The sequence below is a fragment of the Homo sapiens genome, chromosome 4, assembly GCF_000001405.40.
Source record: "Homo sapiens chromosome 4, GRCh38.p14 Primary Assembly".
Taxonomy (NCBI): Eukaryota; Metazoa; Chordata; class Mammalia; order Primates; family Hominidae; genus Homo; species Homo sapiens.
In genome coordinates, this window is record NC_000004.12 from 129,063,564 (window position 1) to 129,090,535 (window position 26,972).

Here is a 26,972-nt window from a genome sequence, read left to right on the forward strand (position 1 = left end):
CCAGCCATGGGGAAGGAGGGCAGTAATGCATATGAAGAGTTGGAATCACCTGTGGGCCAGCTGGTGTGGTGGTACACCACAGGTTAGGCATCCCAAGCAGCTTATGAGTGGGTCTGCTGATAGAGTCTGCAAAGTGGTTAGTAGGATACACAGCCCTTTCTTGAGTTTCAAGCCCTGACTGTGAGTCCCTCCCTGTTCTCCCTGCTCCTAGTCTCTCCTAGACACTTAGCCAGGCTGATCCCATTATTCTGGGTGAGTCAAAAAGAGGTGGGTCTTTTCGAGTGTCCTGCACAGGTAGAAAAGCCAGGAGCTTACTCACTATGCTCTCACTTCCCTCTGTGGGAAGAATCACAGGTTGAGGGAATCTCTCTTGGAACCGAGCTGTGCCATCTTGGGGCAGGAGTGATGCAGGTGAACTGAAATTGTTCTTACATTCTTCAATGTGTCTATTTTCCAATAGTATTCTGGAACTTCTCTAGCCTTTAAACTCCTAGAAAGGGTGGTTGTCAAAATTGGTGCACTGTGGGGAGATGACAGTAGATAACACTTATTCTTTTATCTAGCTCTCTTTCACCTATTTTCTAATTGAATAGTTGGTTTTGTTTTTTCTTGTTTGTTAAACTGTTGAATTTTAAGAGTTCTATATAAATTTAAGATAGTAATAACCAGTCATATATATGGTTTGCAAATTTTTCTGTCAGTCTGTGGTATGTTTATTCATCCTCCTGTAACAGAGCCAAAGTTTTTAACATTAGTAAAGTTCAAAATTTCAATTTATGGACCTTGCTTTTTCCTTTTATGGACCATGCTTGTGATATCAAAAATTCTTTTTCTAGCTCTAGATTCTGAAGAGTATCTGCAACTGACCCTCAAAAATTGTATAGATTCACATCTCCAGTTTAATTCTATGAGCCATTTCAAGTTCATTTTCGTATAAGTTTTGAGATTTTCATTGAGATTATAGTCTGCTTGCCTTCTTTCTAGCTTTCAGCATTGTATTTTTGTTTTACATATAATGTTCAATGCTTTTAGATGTACACAGTTAGAGGAATAAGGAAAAGTACATTTACACTATATTCCTGAAATTAGATGTCCATCCTACAATTTTTATGTGTCTAATTTTTAGTATTCTAAGTTCAAACTATTTTCTAGCTTAATTTAGAAATTTCCTTTGACTAGTAAGCCATTAGAAGCATACTGTTAAATTTCAAAGCAACAGAGGATTTTCTGGTTAACTTTTTGTTGTTGCTTTATAGCTAAATGCCACTGTGGTCAGAAAACAAATTATAAGTAATTTGAAACCCTTAAAATTTGTTGAAATTTATGACTCAGCATATGGTCAATTTTGGCAACTGCTCCATATGCACTGTAAAATAACATGTACTCTATTTTTGTTGAGTTCAGTGTTCTACATAAGTCATTTAGGGGAATTTTGTCAACTGTGCTGTTTAGAACCTTTTATTTTTTTCTTTGCTTATTCTTGCTTATTCTCCATGGTGAAAGAATTCTCCCTTAAAAGTGTATATTTGCTTCTTTTTTACTTTTAGTTTTGTCACTTTTTTCTTTTGTACATTTTGAAGCTTGAAGTTGGGTATAGAAGTATCAAAATTTACCACGGATTTAACTCCTTCACTTATTTATCTATAGTAATATTTCTTAGTTAAATCTATTTCATTTCATATCACTAGGCCTATGTTTGCTTTCTTTTAATTAATATTTTCATGGTGTAACTTTTTCTATCCTTTTCATTTTGAACCACATTGTTGTTCACATAGTTGGTTTTGTGTGTGTGTATGCGTGTGCACTTTAAGTACTTAGAATGTTTAATTTATTCACATTTAATATAATTAATGTTCATAATAAAACAGAGAACAAGAGTTGGCAAAGCTTTTTTGTAAAGGGCCTGACCATAAATATTTGACTTTGTCAATAACATGGTTTTTGTTCCAACTATTCAAGCCTGTTGCTGTAGCACAAATGGAGTCATAGACAATATATAAACAAATGACTATAGCTGTGTTCCAATAAATCTCTATCTAATGAAACACATAGCGTGTGGGATTTGGCCAGTGGGCTATAGTTTGCTAAACTCTAAATTACAATAAATAAATGCGTTGTAATTTATTTATATAATGTAATTTATTGTAATCAGGAAATAAGTAAAAGGCTCAAAGCACCAATATCCTGCAAGAGTGTACTAAGTTTAAGTTTGACTCATAGAATATCAAAGTATTTCAAGTGTGAATTCTAAATTAGCAATTTCACAACAATTTATTTTCTTTCCAGTTGTAGTGACTAAACCCTATTATTCTGGGAGGGAAACACAAAATAGCAACAGACAAAATTAGAGTAACCAGACACTGAACAAGCTATGCATATATGCAAACTTGATATAGATAAGTCAGTAGGGAAAACATCAAATAATAAATGCTGGAAGCAATGGTTATTATACAGAGAAAAAAAACAGAGCCCTGTCCTAAACAATCCACAATAATAAATTCCAGACTGAATAAAGACTTAAATGTGAGAGGCTCATATATGCTAGTGAGGAACTTCTTAAGACACAGTAATAAAATTCACAGCAGAAAAACATATACATTTAACTGTATTAAAAGTTAAAATTTTTCTATTAGAAAACATATAAACCAGATAAATGAAAGCCCACAATTTAAAGTTTACTATGTTTTAATGACCAAAGGGTATTATTAGAAAAAATATAACAGAGGAAATCTGAGATCAATAACAAATAAAAGCAAGAATAATCTCACCAATAATTAGAGAAATACAAATAAAAACAAAAGTGAGATGTTATTTCACACAAGTCAAACTGACAAAACAAAATATTTGACATTACTACCAAATGTTAAAAGGTTGTTTCACAATGAACACTCTTATAGACCATGAATTAGAATGAAAATTATTGCAACCACCTCCAGCAATTCTAGTAAATCTTAAGATAACGCCAATTTTAGGTAGACATACTAAAAAAAATCTCAGATGTATATATGGAGACATGTTCAAGACTGTACTGAAACATTATCGCAAAATTAAAGAATTAGACAAAATCTAAATTTCTTTGTCAAGAGAATGGATACATTTTGGTATAGTAATACAATGGAATGTAGCAATAGTTACAGTACATAAACTGGTAAAATATATTTCAAATATTAAAAATAATGTTGAGCACATAATAGCTTTTGCAGGATACATACAGCATGCTATCATCACTTATTAGTTTAAAAATGTGACAAATGGCACTATAAAGTAATTTCAGGTATAATCATATAAAGTATTAAAGCATGAATAGTATTGAAAAACACTAAGTTAAGGATAGTAATTACCACTGGGAAGGGACAGAAGGAAACAGGTGAGGAAATAAGTGCATACAGAGATTCATTTATTTCTGCGATATTTAATTTCTTAACAAAAATAAAACATGAAACATAACAAAATCTGAAACAAATATGGCAAAAAGTTAAGAACTGACACAATTGGGTGGTAGGTACACAGGTATTAGTTTTATCTTCTATATTTTGATGTATGCTTGAGGTATATAAATTTTTCAAAATAAAGAATAAGATATATAAAGTGTTTAACCTAATTCCTGACATAGAAAACACTTAATAAATCTTAATAAATCTTGGCTCATTATCTTTTGTTTTTTTCTAAACATGAGAAAAAAAAAAACAAATCATTGGCTAACCCAATGTATATATTATAAGCATTTTACCAACATGGGAAGGATTAACTCTTGAAATGCAAAATTTTAAATGATATGTTCACATGGTTCCAGGAGAACTGCAATATGAATTAGGTAAAATGAAAAGGCAATCTTCCATAGTACCTCTTGGTGAACAAAATAATAAATGCATCTAGTAGCCTACATAATTTCAAAAACTGATTTATCCTAGACTACTAACAATAGTTTATACTTTAAAAAGATTAAGAAGTTTTATTTGTTTTTTGAGATAGAGTCTGGCTCTGTCACTCACGCTGGAGTGCCATGGAATGATCTCAGCTTACTGCAACAGCCACCTCCCTGGTTCAAGTGATTCTCCTGACTCAGCCTCCCAAGTAGCTGGGATAACAGGTGCATACCACCATACCTGGCTAATTTTTGTTATTTTTAGTAGAGATGGGGTTTCACCATGTTGGCCAGGCTGGCCTTAAACTCCTGACCTCAAGCGATCCACCTGCCTTGGCCTCCCTAAGTGCTGGGATTACAGGCGTGAGCCACCATGCCTGGCAAAGAAGTAATATTTTAACTTTTTTTTTTTTTTTTAAATGTTATTTCTACAGGTTGCTGGGGAACAGGTGGTGTTTGGTTACATGGGTAAGTTCTTTAGTGATGATTTGTGACATTTTGGTGCACCCAACACCCGAGCAGTATACACTGCACCCAATTTGTCTTTCATCCCTCACCTCCTTGCCACCCTTTCCACCTGAGTCCCCAAAGTCCATTGTGTCATCCTTATGCTTTACATCTTCATAGCTTAGCTTCCAATTATGAGTCAGAACATACAATGTTTGGTTTCCCATTCCTGAATTACTTCACTTAGAATAATTGTCTCCAATCTCATCCAGGTTGCTGCAAATGCCATTAATTCATTCCTTTTCAAGGATAAGTAGTATTCCATCACATATATATGTATGTGTGTGTGTGTGTATATATCAGTAGTAGGATTGCTGGATCAAATGGTAGTCCTACTTTTAGTTCTTTAAGGAATCTCCACACTGATTTCCACAGTGGTTGTGCTAGTTTACATTCCTACCAGCAGTGTAGAAGTGTTCCCTGTTCACTGCATCCACGCCAACATCTACTGTTTTTTGATTTTTTGATAATGGCCATTCTTGCAGGAGTAAGGTGGTATCACGTTGTGGTTTTGTTTTGCATTTCCATGATCATTAGTAATGTTGAGCACTTTTTCATATGTTTGTTGGCCATCTGTATATCTTCTTTTGAGAATTTGTCTATATGTATATGTTTGTTGGCCATTTGTATATCTTCTATTGAGAATTGTCTATTCAGGTCCTTGGCCTACTTTTTGATGGGATTATTTGTTCTTTTCTTGCCCATTTGTTTGAGTTTGTTGTAGATTCTGGGTATTAGTCCTTTGTCAGATGCATAGATTGTGAAGATTTTCTCCCACTCTGTGGATTGTCTGTTTACTCTGCTGACTGTTCCTTTGCAGTACAAAAGCCCTTTAGTTTAATTAGATCCCAGCTATTTATCTTTGTTTTTAATTGCATTTGCTTTTGGGTTCTTGGTCATGAAATTCTTGCCTAAGCCAATGTCTAGAAGGGTTGTTCCAATGTTATCTTCTAGTATTTTTACAGTTTCAGGTCTTAGATTTAAGTCCTTAATCCATCTTGAGTTGATTTTTGTTTAAGGTGGGAGATGAGGATCTAGTTTCATTCTCCTACATGTGGCTAGCCAATTATCCCTGCACGATTTGTTGAAAAGGGAGTCCTTTCCCCACTTGATGTTTTTGTTTGCTTTGTCAAATATCAGTTGGCTCTAAGTATTTGGGTTTATTTTTGGGTTCTCTATTCCGTTCCATTGGTCTATGTGCCTATTTTTATACCAGTACCATGCTGTTTTGGTAGCTATGGCCTTAGAGTATAGTTTGAAATCAGGTAGTATGATGCCTCCAGATTTGTTCTTTTTGCTTAGTCCTGCTTTGGCTATGCAGGCTCTCTTTTAGTTCCATATGAATTTTAGAATTGTTTTTTCTAATTCTGTGAAGAATAATGGTATTTTGATGGGAATTGCATGGAATCTGTAGATTGCTTTTGGAAATATGGTCATTTTCACAATGTTGATTCTACCATCCATGAGTATGAGATGTGTTTCTGTTTGTGTCATCTATGATTTCTTTCAGCAGTGTTTCATAGTTTTCCTTGTACTTTGACTACTTTGTTAGGTATATTCCTAAGCATTTTATTTATTTTTGCAGCTTTGTAAAAGGGGTCAAGTTCTTGATTTGATTCTCTGCTTGGTTGCTGTATAGAAGGGCTACTGATTTGTGCACATTAATCTTGTATCTGGAAACTTTGCTGAATTCTTTTATCAGTTCTAGAAGCTTTCTGGAGGAGTCCTTAGGGTTTTCAAGGTAAATGATCATATCATCAGCAAACAGTGACAGTTTCACTTCCTCTTTGCCAATCTGGATGCCCTTTATTTCTTTCTCTTGTCTGATCGCTCTGGCTAGGGCTTCCAGTATGATGTTGAAGAGGAGTGGTAAGAGTGGGCATCCTCGTCTTGTTCCAGTTCTCAGAGAGAATGCTTTCCACTTTTCCCCATTCAGTATTAGTTGGCTGTGGGTTTGTCATAGATGGCTTTTATTATGTTGAGGTATGTCCCTTGTATGCCAATTTTGTTGAGAGTTTTAATCCTAAAGGGGTGCCAGACTTTGTTGAATGCTTTTTCTGCATCTATTGAGATGATCATGTGATTCTTCTGTTTTTAATTCTGTTTATGTTGAGTATCACACGTATTGACTTGCATATGTTAAACCATCCCTGCAGCCCTGCTCTAAAACCCACTTAATCATAGTGGATTATCTTCTCGCTACGTTGTTGGATACAGTTAGCTAGTATTTTGTTAAGGATTTTAGTATCTATGTTTATCAAGGACATTGGTCTGTAGTTTTCTTTTTTGGATATGTCCTTTCTTGGTTTTGATAATAGTGTGATGCTGGCTTCACAGAATGAATTAGGGAGGGTTCTTTCTTTCTCTATCTTGGGGAATAGTATCAAAAGTATTGGCACCAATTCTTCTTTGAATGTGTGGTAGAATTCTGCTGTGAATCCATCTGGTCCTGGACTTTTTTTTTTGTTGGTAATTTTCTAATTACCACTTCAATCTCGCTGCTTGTTATCAATCTGTTCAGGTAATCTAATTCTTTCTGATTTAATCTAGGAGGGTTGTATTTTTGCAGGAATTTATCCATCTCTTCTAGGTTTTCTAGTTTATGTGCATAAAGGTGTTCATAGTAGACTTAAATGATCTTTTGTATTTCAGTGGTGACAGTTGTAATACCTCGCGTTTCATTTCTTAGTGAGGTTATTGGATTTTCTCCCTTCTTTTCTTGGTTAATCTTGTTAATGGTCTATCAATTTTATTTATCCCTTCAAGGAACCAGCTTTTTGTTTTATTTATCTTTTGGGTTTTTTGTTTGTTTGCTTGCTTGTTTGTTTCAATTTCACTTAATTCTGCTCTAATCTTGGTTATTTCCTTTGTTCTGCTGGGTTTGGGTTTAGTTTGTTCTTGTGTCTCTAGTCCCTTGAGGTGTGACCTTGGAATGTCAGTTTGTGCTCTTTCAGTCTTTTTGATGTATGTGTTTAGAGCTATGAACTTTCCCCTCTTAGCACTGCCTTTGCTGTATCCCACAGGTTTGGTAGGTTGTGTCATTACTGTCATTCAGTTAGAAGAATTTTTAAATTTCTATCTTGATTTCGTTTTTGACCCAATGCTCAGTCAAGAGCAGGCTTACTTAATTTCCATGTATTTGCATGGTTTTGAAGGTTCTTTTTGGAGTCAATTTCCAGTTTTATGCCACTGTGGTCTGAGAGAGTGCTTGACATAATTTCAATTTTCTTCAATTTATTGAGGCCCATTTTATGGTCTATTGTATGGTCCATCTTGGAGAAAGTTCTATTCACTGTTGAACAGAATGTGTATTCTGTGGTTGTTGGATGGAATGTTCTGTATATATCTGTTAAGTCCATTTGTTCCAAGGTATAGTTTAAATCCCTTGTTTCTTTGTTGACTTTCAGTCTTGATGCCCTGCCTAAGGCTGTCAGTGGAGTATTGAAGTCTCCAACTATTAATGTGTTGCTGTCTATCTCACTTGTTAGGTCTATTGGTAATTGTTATATAAATTCGGAAGCTCCAGTGTTAGGTGCATTTATGTTTAAGATTGTGATATCTTCCTGTTGGATAAGGCCTTTTACCCATCATATAATGTCCCTCTTTGTCTCTTTTAACTGCTGTTGCTTTAAAGTTTTTTTTGTTTTTTGTTTTTTGTTTTGTCTGATATAAGAATGACTACTCCTGCTCGCTTTTGGTGCCCATTTGCATGAAATTATTTTTCCACCCCTTCACTTTAAGTTTATGTGAGTCCTTATGTTTTAGGTGAGCCTCCTGAAGGCAGCAGATAGTTGGTTGGTGAGTTGTTATCCATTCTGCAGTTTTGTATCTTTTAAGTGGAGCATTTAGGCCATTTACATTCAGTGTTAGTATTGAAATGTGAGGTACTGTTGCATTCACCATGCTCTCTGTTGCCAGTGTACTTTGGTTTTTTTGTTTTTGCTTTTTTAGCTTATATTTTTGTTTTATAGGTCCTGTGTGATTTATGCTTTAAAGAGGTTCTGTTTTGATGTGCTTCCAAGTTTTGGTTCTAAGATTTGGAGCTCCTTTTAGCCGTTCTTGTAGTGGTGGCTTGGTAATGGTGAATTTGCTCAGCATTTGTTTGCCTGAAAATGACTGTATCTTTCCTTGATATGATGCTTAGTTTAGCTAGATATAAAATCTTGGCTGATAATTGTTTTGTCCGAAGAGGCTGAAGATAGTGCCCTAATCCCTTCCAGCTTGTCTACTGAGAGATCTGCTGCTAATATAACAGGTTTTCCTTTATAGGTTACCTGGTGATTTTGTCTCACAGGTCTTAAGATTTTTTGCTTCATCTTAACTTTGGATAACCTGATGACAATGTCCTAGGCAAAGATCTTTTTGCGATGAATTTCCCAGATGTTCTTTGTGCTTCTTGTATTTGGATGTCTAGGACTCTAGCAAGGCCAAGGAAGTTTTCCTCAATTATTCCCCCAAATATTTCCAAGCTTTTAGAATTCTCTTCTTCCTCAGGAACACCAATTATTCTTAAGTTTAGTTGTTTAACATAATTCCAGACTTCTTGGAGGCTTTGTTCATATTTTCTTATTCTTTTTTGTCTTTGTTGGATTGGGTTAATTCGAAGACCTTGTCTTTGAGCTCTGAATTTCTTTCTTCTACTTGTTCAATTCTATTGCTGAGGTTTTCCAGAGCATTTTGCATTTCTAAAAGTGTGTCCAAAGTCTCCCGAATTTTTTATTGTTTTTTTCTTCAAGCTATCTATTTCCTTGAATATTTCTCCCTTCACTTCTTGTCTCATTTTTTGGATTTTCTTGCACGGGGCTTCGCCTTTTCTTGTCCCTCCCTGATTAGCTTAATAACTAAACTCCTGAATTCTTATTCAGGTAAATCAGGGATTTATTCTTGGTTTGGAGCCATTCCTGGTGAACTAGTGTGATTCTTGGGGGGTGCTGAAGAGCCTTGTTTTGTCATATTATCAGGGTTGGTGTTCTGGTTCCTTCTCATTTAGGTAGGCTCTATCAGAGGAAAGGTCTAGGGCTGAAAACTGTTGTTCAGATTCTTTTGTCCCTTGGGGTGTTCCCTTGATGTAACACTCTGCCCCTTTTTCTATGGATGTGGTTTCCTGAGAGTCTATCTGTAGTGATTGCTATCTCTCTTCTGGATCTAGCCACCCAGCAAGTCTACTAGGCTCTGGGCTTGTACTGGGGATTGTCTGTACAAAGTCCTGTGATGTGAACCATCTGTGGGTCTCTCAGCCATGCATACCATGGTATTTGGGATGTCTCCTGGGTCCTGCAATCTGCTTCCTTCAGAGGGTCTATGGGTCCTCTTGGATTTCCTGACTTATTCCTGTAGTCGTTCTGGAGCAAAAATTCACAATGTGAGCCTCTGCATGCTACTCTGTCCATTGTATTTAACTTTCAATTGTTCAGAAGTTACTTACAAAAGCTACTTGGGATGACTGAACAGTTCAAACTTTTAAAATATTACTTCTCAAGTTTCTTAGGAATTGTTATGAAATCAAAATCTTATAAATTCTTATGACTGAAGGTGGGGGATGAATAACATTTTATAAAACAGTAATATATGGGCTAATTGATCTACCCATCATTTATATGGGTTTCCTGATTGTTACTCCTATCACATTTCACTCCATTTTAATTTACCTTATAGATCACACTAATGCCTGCCTTATTCACTATCATATTCCCAGAGTCTAACACAATGTCTCACTACTTATAGATGCACAACAAATTAGTTATAGACCAATGAATAAATGAATTTCTTTCAGATTATTCAGAAAGTCATTCTTTTAAAAATACTTAGCAGTCTACCAATGCTTATTCAATTAAATCCAGACTCCTCAACATAATCATTCATAGCTCTCTATAACTTACTAAACCTAATGTTTTTCATATTCTCTCCTATATGCCAAATACATTATATAAACTGAAATATATTTTATTCCCTAAATACAACTCTCATTTTCTCATCTCCTTTGGCTTCTTATGCTAGTGGGTCCATCTGAACCACTCCCAACCACCTCTAGTTTTGTCTTCATCAAGTTAGTTTGAAATTTCATCTACTCTTCAATGTCCGTAAGATATGCTACATTTTCAAGAAACTTTTCCTGATCTCTCCAACTATATTTCTTTTGTCACCCTTAATACACACATTTGTTTTTAATGTTCTTAAGATACAAATAATATGCTGTTTATCTTGTTATTTGATATTTGTCTCATTCCATATTTTTATTAGCCTTTAAGTTCCTACAATATGGTCATTTTATTTTAACTTCATATCACTAAAGCACTTGGCATAATTCTTTCCACAAAGGTAGTGATAGAAAATATTAGTTAAGCTGAATTATGTGAAAACACTGTTCAAAAACTATTTTCTAATAACAATTGCTAAGAAAATACGAACCTAAGAATAAATGACCTAATAATCCAAAGTAATTATAAAAGTTGTAAGATGAGAATAAGCATATTTCAAAACAGAGATAGAAAATCTTTGAAAGAATAAAAATGTTGATTTAGCAATCCTTTTCCATTTGCTAGTGAAACTTTTAGAAGAAAAAACTCCATTACTTAATAACTCGAGCAGTAATAGAAAAAATCATGCTTAGAGAATAAGACTGAAATTGCCTAAAAAACATTTACAAATGTTCTTTTCATTTTCTCTAAAACAAAATTTAAAAAAGCTATACTAAATAAAGGAATAATTTAAAGAATTGTGTATTTCTTGAATCTTAAATAACTGATATTGTGTAATTAATTTCTATTTATCTTTTTAAAAATTAGAGACAGGTTCTTGTTCTATCACCCAAACTGGAGTGCAATGGTGCAAGCATAGCTCACTCCAGCCTCGAATTTCTGGACTCAAGAGATCCTCCCACCTCTGCTTCCTGGGTAACCAGAACTATAGGCATGCACCATCATGCCCGGCTAATTTTTTAACTTTTTATAGAGATGGGGTCTTGCTATGTTCCTCAGGCTGGTCTCAAACCCCTGGTCTCAATGATCCTCCTGCCACAGCCTCCCAAAATGCTGAGTTCACAGGCATCAGCTACCACACTGGGTCTCTAATTATCTTTGCTCTCCAGATGACTCCCTGAAATAATGCTGATGGTGTATCACAGAAAAAAATGTCAATAATATTGTATTGTGGTTATGTAAGCAAATTCTCTGGATACTTTTCTTTCTCTAACAAAATTATACACTCTGTAAGCACTCTAATTACAGTTTTGAATGTTTACTTTTGGCTCTCACTCTAATAAATATTGGCTACCAAATATGTAAATTGCATCTTTTCCTCTATCCTTTGGAAGGAAATAAAGTACAGGTTGGCTAGCATTTTGGGAAGATGTTCCTGTACATTTTAAAGGACTGCAGGAAATCTCTTAATCCTTTCGTTTATATCATGAGGAGGTTAATTTTCATCATTTATCAATAAATGTTGACGAACAGCATAAGTAACTGATAAACTTACAGTCAACTCCCTGTAATGTGTTAAATCATCAATCTCCTAGCATCATGGGATGATGCAAAATCATCCCTTCAAGGTTTTACGTGGGTAACTCATCAATAGAGAGTCCAGAATTACAATGGCCAATACAAAAGCTTCAAGCATATATAACTATTTAAATCTAAATTTTATTCATTTAATATGAAAATTAAATAAAACATTCATTTCTTCAGTTGTATTAGCCTAATTTCAAGTGGTCAAAAGCCCCATGTAACTAGTGGCTACAATACTGGACAGTGCAGAATTATATAACATTTCTATCATCAGAGAAAGATCTACTGGACAGTGCCGGTCTAGAAAGCTAATAATCTGATTCAACTCAAATAGTACAGGTGAATTGTTATATTTTATCTGTTGAGTCTTGTATTTGTTAACTCATGAGCAACAGGAGTAGCCTTGCCATTTCTTTAATATAATTTTCAAATAACTATTTTTTTATGACAGTTGGCACAAACTCCTATACATTGTACAAGACATGTCAAATTCTTCCCTGCCTCAAGGCCCCTTCTTGGTCCATTCTTTGGCTCAATCTTCATTTTCTGTCCCAGCTGGAATGTTACTACCTTAGAAAGGTCTTCTATGACCTTTCTATCAAAAATAGGTCTCTACCACCACCACCTCCATAATAACATACATATTAATCTCTATCTCAGCACCCTGCTTCTTTCATAGGATACTGTAATTTTAATTATTTCATTCATTCCTTCACATCTCTTTCATTCATTCACATATCTTCTACAGAACAGGGATCCTTTGTCTATGTTATTCATAGTCCTGTCCCCAGAGCTTACCTAGCATAGGCATGAACTCAAAATTCATTGAATGAGTATATTAATGTTTGTTGAATAAGTGAATATATTTAGACTATGATGTTTTTCCCCTCCATAGCCACTCATACCTCTTTGGCACTATGCTTTTATATGTATTCCTCCCTTTCTTTTTATTCTACCTTATGTATCTCCTTTTTTCCCCCAGCAGACTATCTCAATATTTATTTGTTTTAATTTTGGGTACAAAGGGTAATGAGTAGAAAAAGAATTCCCAAGCTAGAAGAAGAAAATATTTTTAGGTGAGCTTTCAGAGAAAATAAACTTATTTTTAGTATTCCATTCTGTCCCTTCAGCAAGTACCAAGAGACCAAAGCACTAACCTTAGCTCCCTCAGTAGATACATATACCGGTGTGGCGTAGATAACAAAGAGGATTCAATTAGCCTGGGTATGAAAAAAAAAGCAAGTATTCAAGAAAAAAAATGGAATAAAGGACTGGGAAAAAGGGAAATTTTCCACTAAGCTTCTTAAGCAAATCTTTTTCTAATCTTGAATATTTGTCACCTAGTGCCAACTACTGTACTTCAGAGAGCAATGCCACTTGAAATACTTTTTACTTATATAGAAAACACAAAATAATCAAAGACAACTGAATTTTACAACCCTGAAAAAAATCAAGAAACCAGCTATTTAAAATATCTTTTAAAAGTTACATACAAATGTAATGAAGAGAACAGATGATTGAATTATGAAAGTATAATGAGCCAAATATTTAATATATTAAATATATAAGCTATTCAACACATTGGAAGACTTCAAATTTCAGCCTATGTCCACAAAATTTACGTAAAGTATAGTTAGCTACCATAAAGGTAACATAGTCCCCTAAGAACAATAAGCTTCAAAATGGTTATCTTGAGGCAATTCAGAAAACTTACTTTGATCCAAAGCAAGCCTAAATGATCATTATGTAATAACTGCACTAAAGAATTTTCACCATTACACCTAACAAAGTTTATATAGACAATCAAGTTTGAAGTTCCAGCTTAAAATACAAGAAATAAATATCAAACTCCTGTTGCTTTGTTTTTCCAATATCATAAAAAGACTGAATAAAGTATGTTCATTTAACACAACTTCTGGCAATTTTATGGCACCCAATGTAAGGACTTTAGGACTTTATCTTGAAAAATAAAACTAAAAAGTAAGAACTACTTGTATTTCCCAAGCTGACCATGACTTTTCACATCTCCATGACTTTCACTATATTTGACACATAAGAGTTGAAATCATGTTGGAAGATAAGTGGGTAGGAGGGAAGGAAAAAGAGGAAGAACATAGTTGTTTCATTCACTCAACAAATATTTATCAAATGCCTACTGACCAGAACTGTTCTAGGCATCTGGGAAACATGGCTAAACAAAAAGGGGAAACACAAATTTATAAAAGATTTCTGTTGCTAGTAGCAACAACTAAGTTACAGTGATAAGATATATGAGCTAGCACTCCTGGATCCCACATACCCATTGATAATGGTTTCCTTCTTCCTTTACTGCAAAACATACTAAAACAAAATAAAAAAAGAAAAAATTCTCTTGAACATTTTTTCAGAAACCGAAGTAATATATGAGGTAAAGAACCCTCTAGGGATGCATTACATATGGCCAAGGATATGGGCATTATTGCTAGAAAGCAGATTAATTTCCTCATGCTGTCATATCACCTCCTCTCTTACTCCTCACCTCAAAACATGCAGTGAAAAGCAAGGTCCATGGGGATGGGAGTCTGGAAACAGCAACATGTTCTGAAGATATGGAGGATGGCAGAGGACTCTTAGGCAGTAACAGTATGTTACCACTAAAGAGATAGGAATCAAGATTTGGTTGCAAGACAACAAGAATAGTACACATAAGAGAAGAATGGTTAGCTTCACAAAAGTAAAGCAGTTATAATTCTTCCAAAGAGGACAATCTTGTAAAGGAAGATTTGTCCCTACTAGGTCTGCTACTCTTGAGCTTTAATTAGTATAATCACAATGCATAATGCAGGTGCATCTGAAAGGCTAGAGTCACCATTATGCTATCTGTTAAAAACATCTTTCATAATCAAGTCAACCATAGCTTTCCACAGATATGATGCATTACCGTGGCCAGAGTCATCTGGGGCTTTAAAATAAAAATTTTTTTTTACTCTTTTGTTCAGGCCTATTCCACAAGACACTAAACAGAAGCAAAAATCTTAAGATTCTGAGCAAAACTTAAAGGCTGTTGGAATATGAAAGATTCTCTATCACTTAAATTATTACAGTTATTAAGTATGCATAAAAATTATATATTATAATAAAAATAATATGGTTATAACAGCAAATAGTGAATGGATAGCTTCAAGACTCTGTGGACTCTGAATCTGGTCTTTGGAAATAAAAGCATAGAGCAGTCAGCTAAATATTGAATATACATTAAAAAATATCTATAAGAATAAGTACTCAAGCCAACCAAATAAACTATTCCTTTTTAATACTAAAAACAAGCTCTTCACTTTTAATACCTTGAAAATAATTTTAGTTCTGCATTAGTCCATTCTTGCACTGCTATAAGGAAATACATAAGACTGGGTGATTTATCAAGAAAAGAGGTTTAATTGGCTAATTGTTCCACAGGCTGTACAGGAAGCCTGGCTGGGGAGGCCTCAGGAAACTTTCAGAATGCAGAAGGTGAAGGGAAAGAAGGCACATCTTACATGACTGGAGCAGGAGGAAGAGAGAAAATGGGGAGGTACTACCCATTTATAAGCAAGCAGATTTCATGAGAACTCACTCACTATCAGGGGAACAGCAAGGAGAAAATTCACCCCCATGATACAATCACCTCCCACCAGGGCTCTCCTCCAACACTGGTGATTACCATTCGACATTAGATTTGGGCAGGGACACAAATCCAAAGTGTGTCACTCCACCCTCGGCCCTTCCCAAATCTCATATCCTCACACTGGAAAATACAATCGTCCCTCCTCAACAGTCCCCCAAGTCTTAACTCATTTCAGCATTAACTCAAAAGTCCACAGTCCAAAGTCTCATCTGAGACAAGACAAGACCCTTCTGCCTATGACCCTGTGAAATAAAAAACAAGTTAGTTACTTCCAAGATACAATGAAGGTATAGAATTGGGTAAATACTCCCTTTCCAAAAGGGAGACATTGATCAAAAGACAGGGTCTACAGGCCGCGGGGCATGTCCAAAACCCAGAAGGGCAGTCATTAAACCTTAGGGGCCCAAAATAATCTCCTTTGACTCCATGTCTCACATCTAGGCAACACTGATGCAAGGGGTGGGCTCCCACAGCCTTGGGCAGCTCTGCCTCTGTTGCTCTGCAGGGTACATTCCCTGCAGCTGCTTTCACAGTCTGGCATTGAGTGCCTGAGGCTTTTCCAGGCACATAGTGCAAGCTGTTGGTGGACCTACAATTCTTTGGTCCGGAGGATGGTAGCTCCCTTCTCACAGCCCCACTAGGCAGTGTCCAGTGTGGATTCTGTGTGGGGGCTCCAACCCTACATTTCCTCTTTGCACTGCCCTAGCAGAGGTTCTCCATGAGGGCTGCGCCCCTGCAGCAGGCTTCTGTGTGGACATCCAGGCATTTCCATATATCCTCTGAAATCCAGGCAGAAGCTCCCAGGCCTCAACTCTTGCCCTCTGTGCACCCACAGGCTTAATACCATGTGGAAGCTGCCAAGATTTATGGGTTCCACCCTCTGGAGCAGTTGACTGCGATGTTATCTGGGGCCCTTTTAGCCACAGCTGGAGCTGAAGCAGCTGGGACCAGGGAGCAATGTCCTGAGGTTGTACAGGGCAGTGGGGCCCTGGGCCTGCCCCCACAAAATCATTCTTCCCTCCTATGTCTCCAGGCCTGTGATGGTAGGGGCTGTGGTGAACATCACCAAAATGCCTTTGAGGCATCTTTATTGTCTTGGGCATTCAGCTCCTCTTTACTTATGCAAATTTCTGCAGCCAGCTTCAATTTCTCCCTAGAAAATGGGTTTTTCTTTTCTATCACATGGTCAGGCTGTAAACTTTCCAAACTATTATGCTCTACTTCCCTTCTAAATATAAGTTCCAGTTTCAGACCATCTCTTTGCAAACACATATGAACTTACACTGTTAAAAGCAGCCAGGCTACATCTTGAGTGCTTTCTTGCTTGGAAAGTTTCCTGCCAAATACCCTAAATCATCTCTCTCAGGTTCAAAGTTCCACAGATCCTTAGAGCAGGGGCACAAAGCTGCCAGTCTCTTTCTACAACATGGCAAGAGTGACCTTTACACTAGTTCCCAGTAAGCTCCTCTTCTCCATCTGAGGCCTCCTCAGCCTAGACTTCACTATCCGTATCACTATGAGCATTTTGGTCACAACCATTCAACAAGTCTCTTGGAAGTTCCAAACTTTCCTTCATCTTCCTGTCTTCTTCTGGGTTCTCCAAACTGTTCCAACCTCTGCCCATTATGCAGTTCCAAAGTCACTTCCACATTTTCAGGTATCTTTATACCAATGCCCATTCACTGGTACAAATTTTCTATATCAGTCCATTCTCACACTCCTATAAAGAAACATCTGAGACTGGGTAATTTATAAAGAAAAAAAGGTTTAGTTGGCTCATAGTTCTGCAGTCTGTGGGAGAGAGAGTTTCTGGGGTGCCAGATGAGTTGGTCTCCCCCGTGTGAAACACCCATGGGAAGCCATGGGCGGCCTCTGAGGAGAAAAGTCTCCTTATTGCCTTTATATGTTTATGCCCCGAGAGCATAACAGCTCAGCGGCATTCCACAGGTTGCCCAGGGAGATAACACTCCCTTGAAGCAGTGGAGTATAATCAAACATCTTGGCTCCTCCTGAAACCCACTCCTACCCATTTCAGTCCCAATAAGTTAAAGATCTTAAGTAGTTTAGACACACACCTTTGCTCAAGGAAATTCACAGAAACCGCCACTGCTATACTTCTTATTGAATGACTCACGAGTTCTCCCTCATGAGCCTTTTCCTCATCCCTTCCTACCCCTCCCATATGCCCTAAGAACAAAGAGCTTGTAAACCAATAAATTAGGTGGAGCCGAAGAGCTCTGGGCCATGAGCAAGGCTCTAACGCTCTGGTCCCCTGGACCCACCTTTTAAACGCTTATTCTGTCTCTTTGTAACTCCTTTGTCTCCGCTGGACTCGGGGTACCTGCCAGGTGGTGTGGGGCTGGTTTCCCCAACACAGGCTATACAGGAAGCATGGCTTGGGAAGCCTCAGGAAATGTTCAATCATGGTGGAAGATGAAGGGGAAGCAGGAATGTCTTACATGGCCAGAGCAGGAGGAAGAGAGAGAATGGGGAGGTGCTACACACTTTAAACCACCAGATCTCATGAGAACTCACTATCACGAGAAGGGCAAGGGGGAAATTTGCACCCATGATCCACTCACCTTCAACCAGGCCCCCTCCTCCAACACTGGAGATTACAATTCCACATGAGATTTGGGCGGGGACACAGATCCAAACCAGATTAAGTTCTAATTATAAAATGCATTTATGTAAAAGTAAAACACTCTTATTTGCTTCTATAGAGAGTCACCACTAATCTACGAGCCATTACCTTCCTTTTAATATTCTGTAATGCAAGGTCCACCAATAATTATACCTTTCTGGCTAAATAATTTTTTAAACACAATATTTAAATAAGAAGATATGACAACCAAGGAAAAAAGATATTTTTAAAAAACCATATATTATTTACAATTTGCATTAGTTTATGCTCCTGTCATAATTTATGAGAATGCAGAGAATTAGAACACAGAACTAGAGGTATATTGAGAAACAATTTTAGGATGTTTCAGAACTCGAATGAATTCCCATTTTAGAACTCAGACATTTTATATATCATATATAATATATAAGCTCCAACTCTGGTTGGGGGGAAAAGGGCAATTTCTATTGTCAAAAGATTTACTTTCATTAAGCAAAAACAAGCTTTCCCATTACAGGAATCAAAGTTGTAAGCCAAGTTTCAAAGTGCTGTAGGCAACTTCACATGAGAATATTCCCAAGTAGAATTTATAATTTACATACCTGTACAGATGAATATTTGGAAAAACTTTCCATTTGATACCGCCTAAAATCTTCATTTAGTCTTCGATCTGAAACAAGCGGGAAAACAGATTTCAGTTCATTGAGTAATGGTCAATTCTTTAAAACTAGAAATACAGTAATTATTTGATGTATCCCATGCAAAACGGCTAGTCTTCACTGCTTCTCAAAATAAGATGAATCATCAGTTTCAATACACCATTTTAAAACTTGAAAATAGGCCCTTTTATATATCTAAGCCAACTAATTACTGCCAAAGTGAAAAAAATAACATCTGCAAAGAACTACCATTTCTGATTTCATAAACATGAAATCTCAGTCTCTGCTGGCTTGCTCTTCGGGTTAATGAAAGTAAAATATATTCTCCACATCTTATTACTACTACTAAAATTGAGAAGCATTGGGAAGATAAGCTATAGTCATATTTTTTAGAATTCTTAAAACCAATTGAAACTCTTCCAGGACAAACCTCCACCTTAAGGAGAAATTGCAGGCTGAAGAATCCAAATTAAACAGGAGTGGGTAAGAGACAATGGGGGAAGAAGACCCAGAATAAAGGTGAGAGGTCTTGGTAATAACAAGGCCAGCCCAGGCCCGGTGACTCATGCCTGTAATCCTAGCACTTTGGGAGGCCGAGGCAGATGGATCACTTGAGGTCGGGAGTTCGAGACCACCCTGGCCAACATGGTGAAACCCCATCTCTACTAAAACTACAAAATTAGCCAAGAGTAGTGGCATGCGCCTGTAATCCCAGCTATTTGAGAGGCTGAGGCAGGAGAATAACTTGTACCCGGGAGGCAGAAGTTGCAGTGAGCCAAGATCGCACCACTGCACCCCAGCCTGGGTGACAGAGTGAGACTCTGAAAAAAAAAAAAAAAAAGAATAAGAAGAAAAGAAAAAGAAAAAAAAGAAATAACAAGACCATACTTTTATTTACATCAAGAAAAGTAACATACATACAACATAGTACCCAACAAATTTGCAATCACACGTTCTTTTCAAGATCACACAGAACATTTAATGTTGATTATTCACTGGTAAAAGAAAGTCTCAATAATGTTCAAAGGACTGAAACCAAAGACAGTATGTTATCTTACAATAGCACTATTAAGTTAGTATCAAGAACCAAAAAAAAAAAAAAAAAAGGAAAATCCTCTATATGTTTGGAAGTTCAGAAATCACTTTTGGCCAGGCATGGTAGCTCATGCCTATAATCTCACTGCTTTGGGAGGCCAAAGTAGGAGAATCACTGGAGCCTAGGAGTTTGAGGCTACTTTGAGGCTACAGTGAGCTATGATTGCACTACGCTCCAGCCTGGGCAACAGAGCAAGACTCTATCTCAGAAAAAAAAAAGAAGAAAGATCTCAGGAGGAATTACAAAATAAATTTTAAAGTATTTTGAAGTGAACAATAGTGAAAATGTGATACCTCCAAACTTGCTTAAAGAGAAATCTGTAGCTTTAATTGCATATACTAGAGAAAAAGTCTGAAGTTACAAATGCATTCCAAGAAGTTAGAAAAACAGCACCAAATTAAATCCAAAGAAAGCCAAGTGGAGTAAATAAAGATAAGCCCAGAAAATAAAGAAATTGAAAATAAACTCACAAAAAATGATAAGAAATATGATCATCTCAAAAGTTATTTTAAAAAAGCACCTGATGAAATTCAAGATATATTCATGATAAAGCCTTATCAAAGTAAGACTAGAAGGGAACACTGTTATTATAATGAATGCTTACGTAAAATACACAACAAACATCATACTCATGAGTAAAAATGTTGAAAACTTTCCCTTGAATTAGGAATCACATAAGGATAAATTCTTATGACATTTACTCAACACTCTATTGGAGGTCTAAGTTAATGCAGTAAAGCAAGTAAAAGACCTAAAAGACACAAAGGCTGGAAAAGATGAAACAACTGTCATTATTCATAGTTATGAGTGCATATGTGATTAATCCAAAAAAACCACAGATACATACTTAAAAATCAATCATGAAGATTAACAAAGTTGTTGGATACAAGGTCAATATATAAAAATTAATTATATTTCTAGATACTGGCAGCATAAAGTTAGAAAACAGTAAAAGATGCTATTTATAGTACCATAAAAAAAAATAAATGCCCAGTAATAAATACAACAGAAGATGTTTAAGACCTCTACACAGAAAACTATGAAACGTTTCTCTGGAAAAAACTTTAAAATTCATATGAAACCAAAAAAGAGACTGAATAGCCAAAGCAATCCTAAGCAAAAAGAACACACCTGGAGGCATCATGTTTCCTAACTTAGAACTACACTACAGGGCCACAGTAACCAAAACAGCATGGTACTGGTGCAAAAAACAGACACATAGGCCAATGGAACATAATAGTGAACCCAGAATTAAGGCCACATACCTACAACTATCTGATCTTCAACAAACCTGACAAAAACAAGCAATGAGGAAAGAATTCCCTACTTTAAATGGTGCTCGGATAACCGGCAAGCCATATGAAAAAAGACTGAAACTGGACTCCTTGCTTACACAATATATAAATAATAACTCAAGACGAATTAAAGACTTAAATGTAAAACCCCAAACTATAAAAACCCCGGAAGACAACCTAAGCAACACCATCTGGACACAGGAGTAGGCAAAGGTTTCATGACAAAAATGCCAAAAGCAATTGCAACAAAAGCAAAAATTACAAATGGAAACTAATTAAAATAAGGAGCTTTGGCACAGCAAAGGAAACTATCCACAGAGTGAACAGACATGCTGCAAAGTGGGAGAAAATTTCTGCAAACTGTGTATCTGACAAAGGTCTAATAGTCAGCATCTATAAGGAACTTGAACAAATTTACAAGAAAAAAATCCCATTAAAAAGTGGGCAAAGCTCATGAACAGACACCTTTTAAAAGAAGACATATATGCGGTCAGCAAGCATACAAAAAAAAGCTCAACATCACTGATCATTAGAGAAATGTAAATCAAAACCACAGTGAGATACTACCTCACACCAGTTAGAATGGCTATTATTAAAAAGTCAAAAAATAACAGATGCTGGTGAAGTTGTGGAGAAAAAGGAACATTTATACATTTTGGTGGGAATGTAAATTAGTTCAACCATTGTGGAAGACAGTGTGGCGATTCCTCAAACACCTAAAGACAGAAATACCATTCGACCCTTTAATCCCATTACTGAGTATACACCCAAAGGAATATAAATCATTCTACCACAAAGACACATGAGCATGTATGTCCATTGCAACACTATCCACAAGAGTAAAGACATGAAATCAACCTTAATGCCTATCAATGGTGGTCTGGCTAAAGAAAATGTGGTACATGTATACCATGGAATACTATGCAGCCATAAAGAAGAACGAGATCATCTCCTTTGCAGGAACATGGATGGAGCTGGAGACCATTATCCTTAGCAAACTAATGCAGGAACAGAAAACCAAGTACGGCATGTTCTCAATTATAAGTGGGAGGTAAATGATGAGAACACATGGAGGGGACCAACACACACGGTGGCCTATTGGAGGGTGAAGGGTGGGAGGAGGGAGAGGATCAGGACAAGCAACTAATGGGTATTAGGCTTAATACCTGGGTGACAAAATAATCTGCACAACAAATGCCCATGACACAAGTTTACCTATATAACAAACCTGCACATGTACCCCTGAACTTAAAAGATAAATTTTAAAAAAAGAAAAACTTAAAACAAAAAATTAATCACAATACAAACCTCTTTTTTTTTCCCTGACAGAGTTTTCAATTAAGAAAAAAACTAGATCTGTGTCCTCAGTAATTAAAATAGGATAAGAAGTAAATTATGTATTAATAATGAGGGAAACACTTTCAATCTTCATAGATTGACTATAATCTGGAGAAAATTTTACTGTAACTTAAATGTTATTATTTCCTTCATTCTACAAGTACTTATCTGGCTTGTTTAATTTGCGTTTCCTGGATACCTGAAGATGCTGGTGTATGTATGTATATATATATATATATATATATACACACACACATTCATTGTTAGTTTCAATTTACTAATATTTTATTTTGGATTTTAGTTCCAACATGCATAAGTGAAACAGGTTTACAGTTTTCCTTTCTTGCAAGTATGCTTTTTGTGTAGCAGTTAAGAAAAGAGACACTGAAACTAGACTGCCTGGGTTCAAATCCCAGCTCAGTCACTTACTAGCTCTGTTAACCTTGACTTTGTGAAGGCACTTATCCAGAGGGTTCAGCTATCTATAGGTACTAAACAGCATTTGGTATGAGAACTGTAAAGGCAAACCAACCAATCATGGCATGAGGTGTTACTGGGCATCAGCTATAGAAAAGCAGGGGTATAATCATATTAAGATTACTGACAAGCGCAGAAGGACTAATGGGCAATGGTTACAGCCTGTAAAAGACACCAGTAAAAACAAACTGGGAAGCAGTCAAGGTGGTAAAGAAAATGAAGGGCTCAAAGGATGAGGAGGTCAAAGAACAGTTATAGTAGGAGTAAGATACTTGAGTTTAAGACATCAAAAAGTAGGGCAACTTGAATAGGACTTCTGCTTATACTCAAGAAGAAATAACATGGACCACTTTTCTGCCTGACACACATGAAAAAGCAAGCAAAAAAATCATCAATACCTTATAGTACACTAGACATCAGACAATGATAATCAGAGACAAGAAACAAATGAGGTAAGCCCTATGATTGCCCCACCTTAATGACTTAAGAGACTTTCCAGGGCCATGACACGGGGGGAGGAAATGCAAGTGGAGACCACTGGACTCTTATTAAGAGGTGGAGCTGAGAAGTAGTGGAGATTAAGTGAACTAGAATTGGCAGGACAAAGGATAGAAGACTGCACAGAGAAAGAACCCTAGGGAATGTGAGACCTGCAGAGGTTCTTCTCGAGTACAATACAGAGTACTGAATAGCTCTTTATTTATTAAAGAAATTAAGTTTGTATTTTAAAACCTTTCCACAAAGAAAACTTCAGGTCCAGTTGGCTTCACTGGTGAATTCTATCAAATATTCAAGGAAGAAATAATATCATTTTATACATACTCTTACAGAAAGTTGAAGAGTACAAAATATTTTCCAAGTAATTCTATGAGGCTGGCATTACCTGATACTAAAACCAGACAAAAATATTGGGAAGGAAAAAAAAAAAGGCACTTTAAGAGGCTGAGGTGGGAGGATTGCCTAAAGCCAGGAGTTCAAGACCAGCCTGGGTGACAAAGGGAGACCCGGCTTCTACAAAAAATAAAAAATAAAAATATTAGCCAGGTGCAGTGGCACATGCCTGTAGTCCTAGCTACTCAAGAGGGTGAGGCAGGTGGAGGGCTTCAGCCTAGGAGTTCAAGGTTGTAGTGAGCTACTAGTGTACCATTAACTCCAGCCTGGGTGACAGTGAGACCCTTGCGCAAGTTAAAAAAAAAAAAAAAAAAAGGAAGAAAAAAAAAGAAAAGCAAAAAACCTTCATAGGTTGGGCATGATAGCTCATGCCTATAATCCTAGCACTTTGGGAGGCAAGAGGATCACTTGAGCCCAGGAGTTCAAGACCAGCCTGGGAAACATAGGGAGACCCTATCTCTACAAAAAGAAAAAAAAATTAGCCAGATATGGTGGCATGTGCCTGTAGTCCCAGCTTCTCAGGAGGCTGAGGCAGAAGGATCGCTTGAGCCCAGGAGGTTGAGGCTGCAAAGAGCCGTGATTGTGCCACTGCACTCCAGCCTGGGCAATAGAGGAAGATCCCGTCCCAAAAAGAAAAAAAAAAAGCTGAACACACTAAAATTTTAAACAAACATTTATAAAATAAAATTCAACAATATAGAAAAAGGATTATACATCATGAGCAAGTGGAATTTATCCCAGAAAGGCAAGGTGGTTTTAACATTTGAAATTAATCAATGTAATTTACTCTATTAACAAACAAAAAATGAAAAAATATCTTTTAATCTCAATGGATGCAGAACAGCATTTTTAAAAATCCAGCATCCATTTTGATAAAAACTCTCAGCAAATTAAGAATAGAAAGGAACATTCTCAACATAAGAACGTCTATGAAAAACCTACAACTAGTATCATACCTAATTCTGAAAGACAAATGCCTTCCCCATAAGATCAGGAACAGGATATGGATGTGTATTCCCACCACTTCTGTTCAATACTGTACCAGAGATTCTAGCCACTGCAATAAGGTGAGAAAAAGAAATGAAAGGCATCCAAATTGAAAAGAAATAAAACTTTTTATTTTCAGATTACAAGATTATCTACATAAAACTACTGACAGACTCTACAAAACTACTAGAGCTAATGAATGAGTTTGGCAAGGCTGCAGAGCAGAATATTAAAGAACGTTATTTCTCACCACACATCTACAGCCATCTGATCTTTGACAAACCTGACACAAACAAGCAATGGGGAAAAGATTCCCTATTTAATAAATGGTGCTGGGAAAACTGGCTAGCCATATGCAGAAAACTGAAACTGGACCCTTTCCTTACACCTCATACAAAAATCAACTCAAGATGGATTAAACACTTAAATGTAAGACCTAAAACTATAAAAACCCTAGAAGAAAACCTAGGCAATACCATTCAGGACACAGGCATGGGCAAAGACTTAATGTCTAAAACACCAAAAGCAATGGCAAAAAAAGCCAAAACTGACAAATAGGGTCTAATTAAACTGAAGAGCTTCTACACAGCAAAAGAAACCATCATCAGAATGAACAGACAACCTACAGAATGGAAGAAAATTTTTGCAATTTATCCATCTGACAAAGGTCAGATCCTACCCACAATCTACAAAGAACTTAAGCAAATTTACAAGAGAAAAGCAAACGATCCCATCAAAAAGTGGGCAAAGGATATAAACAAACACTTCTCAAAAGAATATATTTATGCAGCCAACAAACACATGAAAAAATGCTCATCATCACTGGTTATTAGAGAAATGCAAATCAAAACCACAATGAGATACCATCTCACACCAGTTAGAATGGCAATCATCAAAAAGTCAGGAAACAACAGATGCTGGAGAGGATGTGGAGAAATAGGAATGCTTTTGCTTTTACACCGTTGGTGGGAGTGTAAATTAGTTCAACCATTGTGGAAGACAGTGTGGCGATTCCTCAAGGATCTAGAACCAGAAATACCATTTGACCCAGCAATCCCATTACTGGGTATATACCCAAATAATCAGAAATCATTCTACCATAAAGACACATGCACATGTATGTTTAATGCGGCACTATTCACAACAGCAAAGACTTGGAACAAACCCAAATGTCCATCAATGATAGACTGGATAAAGGAAATGTGGCACATATACACCATGGACTATTATGCAGCCATAGAAAAATATAAGTTCATGTCCTTTGCTGGGACATGGATGAAGCTGGAAACCATCATTCTCAGCAAACTATCACAAGAACAGAACACCAAACACCGCATATTCTCACTCATAAGTGGGAGCTGAACAAGGAGAACACGTGGACACAGGGAGGGGAACACCACACACCGGGGCCTGTTGGGGAGTGGGGGACTAAGGGAGGGATAGCATTAGGAGAAATACCTAATGCAGGTGACGGGTTGATGGGTGCAGCAAACCACCATGGCATGAGTATACCTATGTAACAAAACTGCACGTTCTGCACATGTACCCCAGAACTTAAAGTATAATAATAAAAAAGAAATGTTATTTCTACATACTAGCAACGAAAAATCAGAAACTGAAAGTAAAAGAATAATACCATTTACAGTAGTATCAAAAATTTCAATACATAGGCATAAATCTAACAAAAGATGTGCAAAACCTAAATATTAAAAACTACAAAGTATAGCTGAGAAAATTTAAAAAGATACATCAATGATGTACAGAAGAACCAATTTTATTTTAAAACTTACTATAAAGCTGCAATAATTAAGACAGTGGGGTACTGGTGTCCAGACAGACAAATAAATCAGTGGAAAAGAATAGAGTTCATTAATAGATCCATACATATATAAACAACTGCAAAGGAGCAAAGGTAATTCAATGGAGAAAGGGTAGTTTTTCCATTTGGGCATCCAATGCAAGAAAGTGGCCTGGATCCTTACCTCATCCCTTGTATAAAATTTAACTGTATGAACCATAGATCTAAATGTAAAACCTAAAACTATAAAACTCCTAGAAGAAAATATAGAAGAAATCTTTGCAGCCTTGG

The 26,972-nt window shown here is 36.5% G+C and overlaps 1 protein-coding gene across 14 annotated transcripts in view; it reads right to left on the reverse strand.

The window, feature by feature from the left end:
• SCLT1 (sodium channel and clathrin linker 1) overlaps window positions 1–26,972 on the reverse strand; it is a 220,299-nt gene that overhangs the window by 190,323 nt on the left and 3,004 nt on the right. For 13 of the 14 annotated variants that reach the window (XM_047449590.1, XM_017007717.3, NM_144643.4 and 10 more), the window contains exon 2: window positions 18,743–18,810. In XM_047449590.1, the coding sequence (XP_047305546.1) occupies window positions 18,743–18,810 (68 nt within the window). Of the gene's footprint in view, window positions 1–13,031; window positions 13,095–18,742; window positions 18,811–26,972 lie in introns of those variants that run through there. The other variant, XM_017007719.2, reaches the window with a different exon arrangement.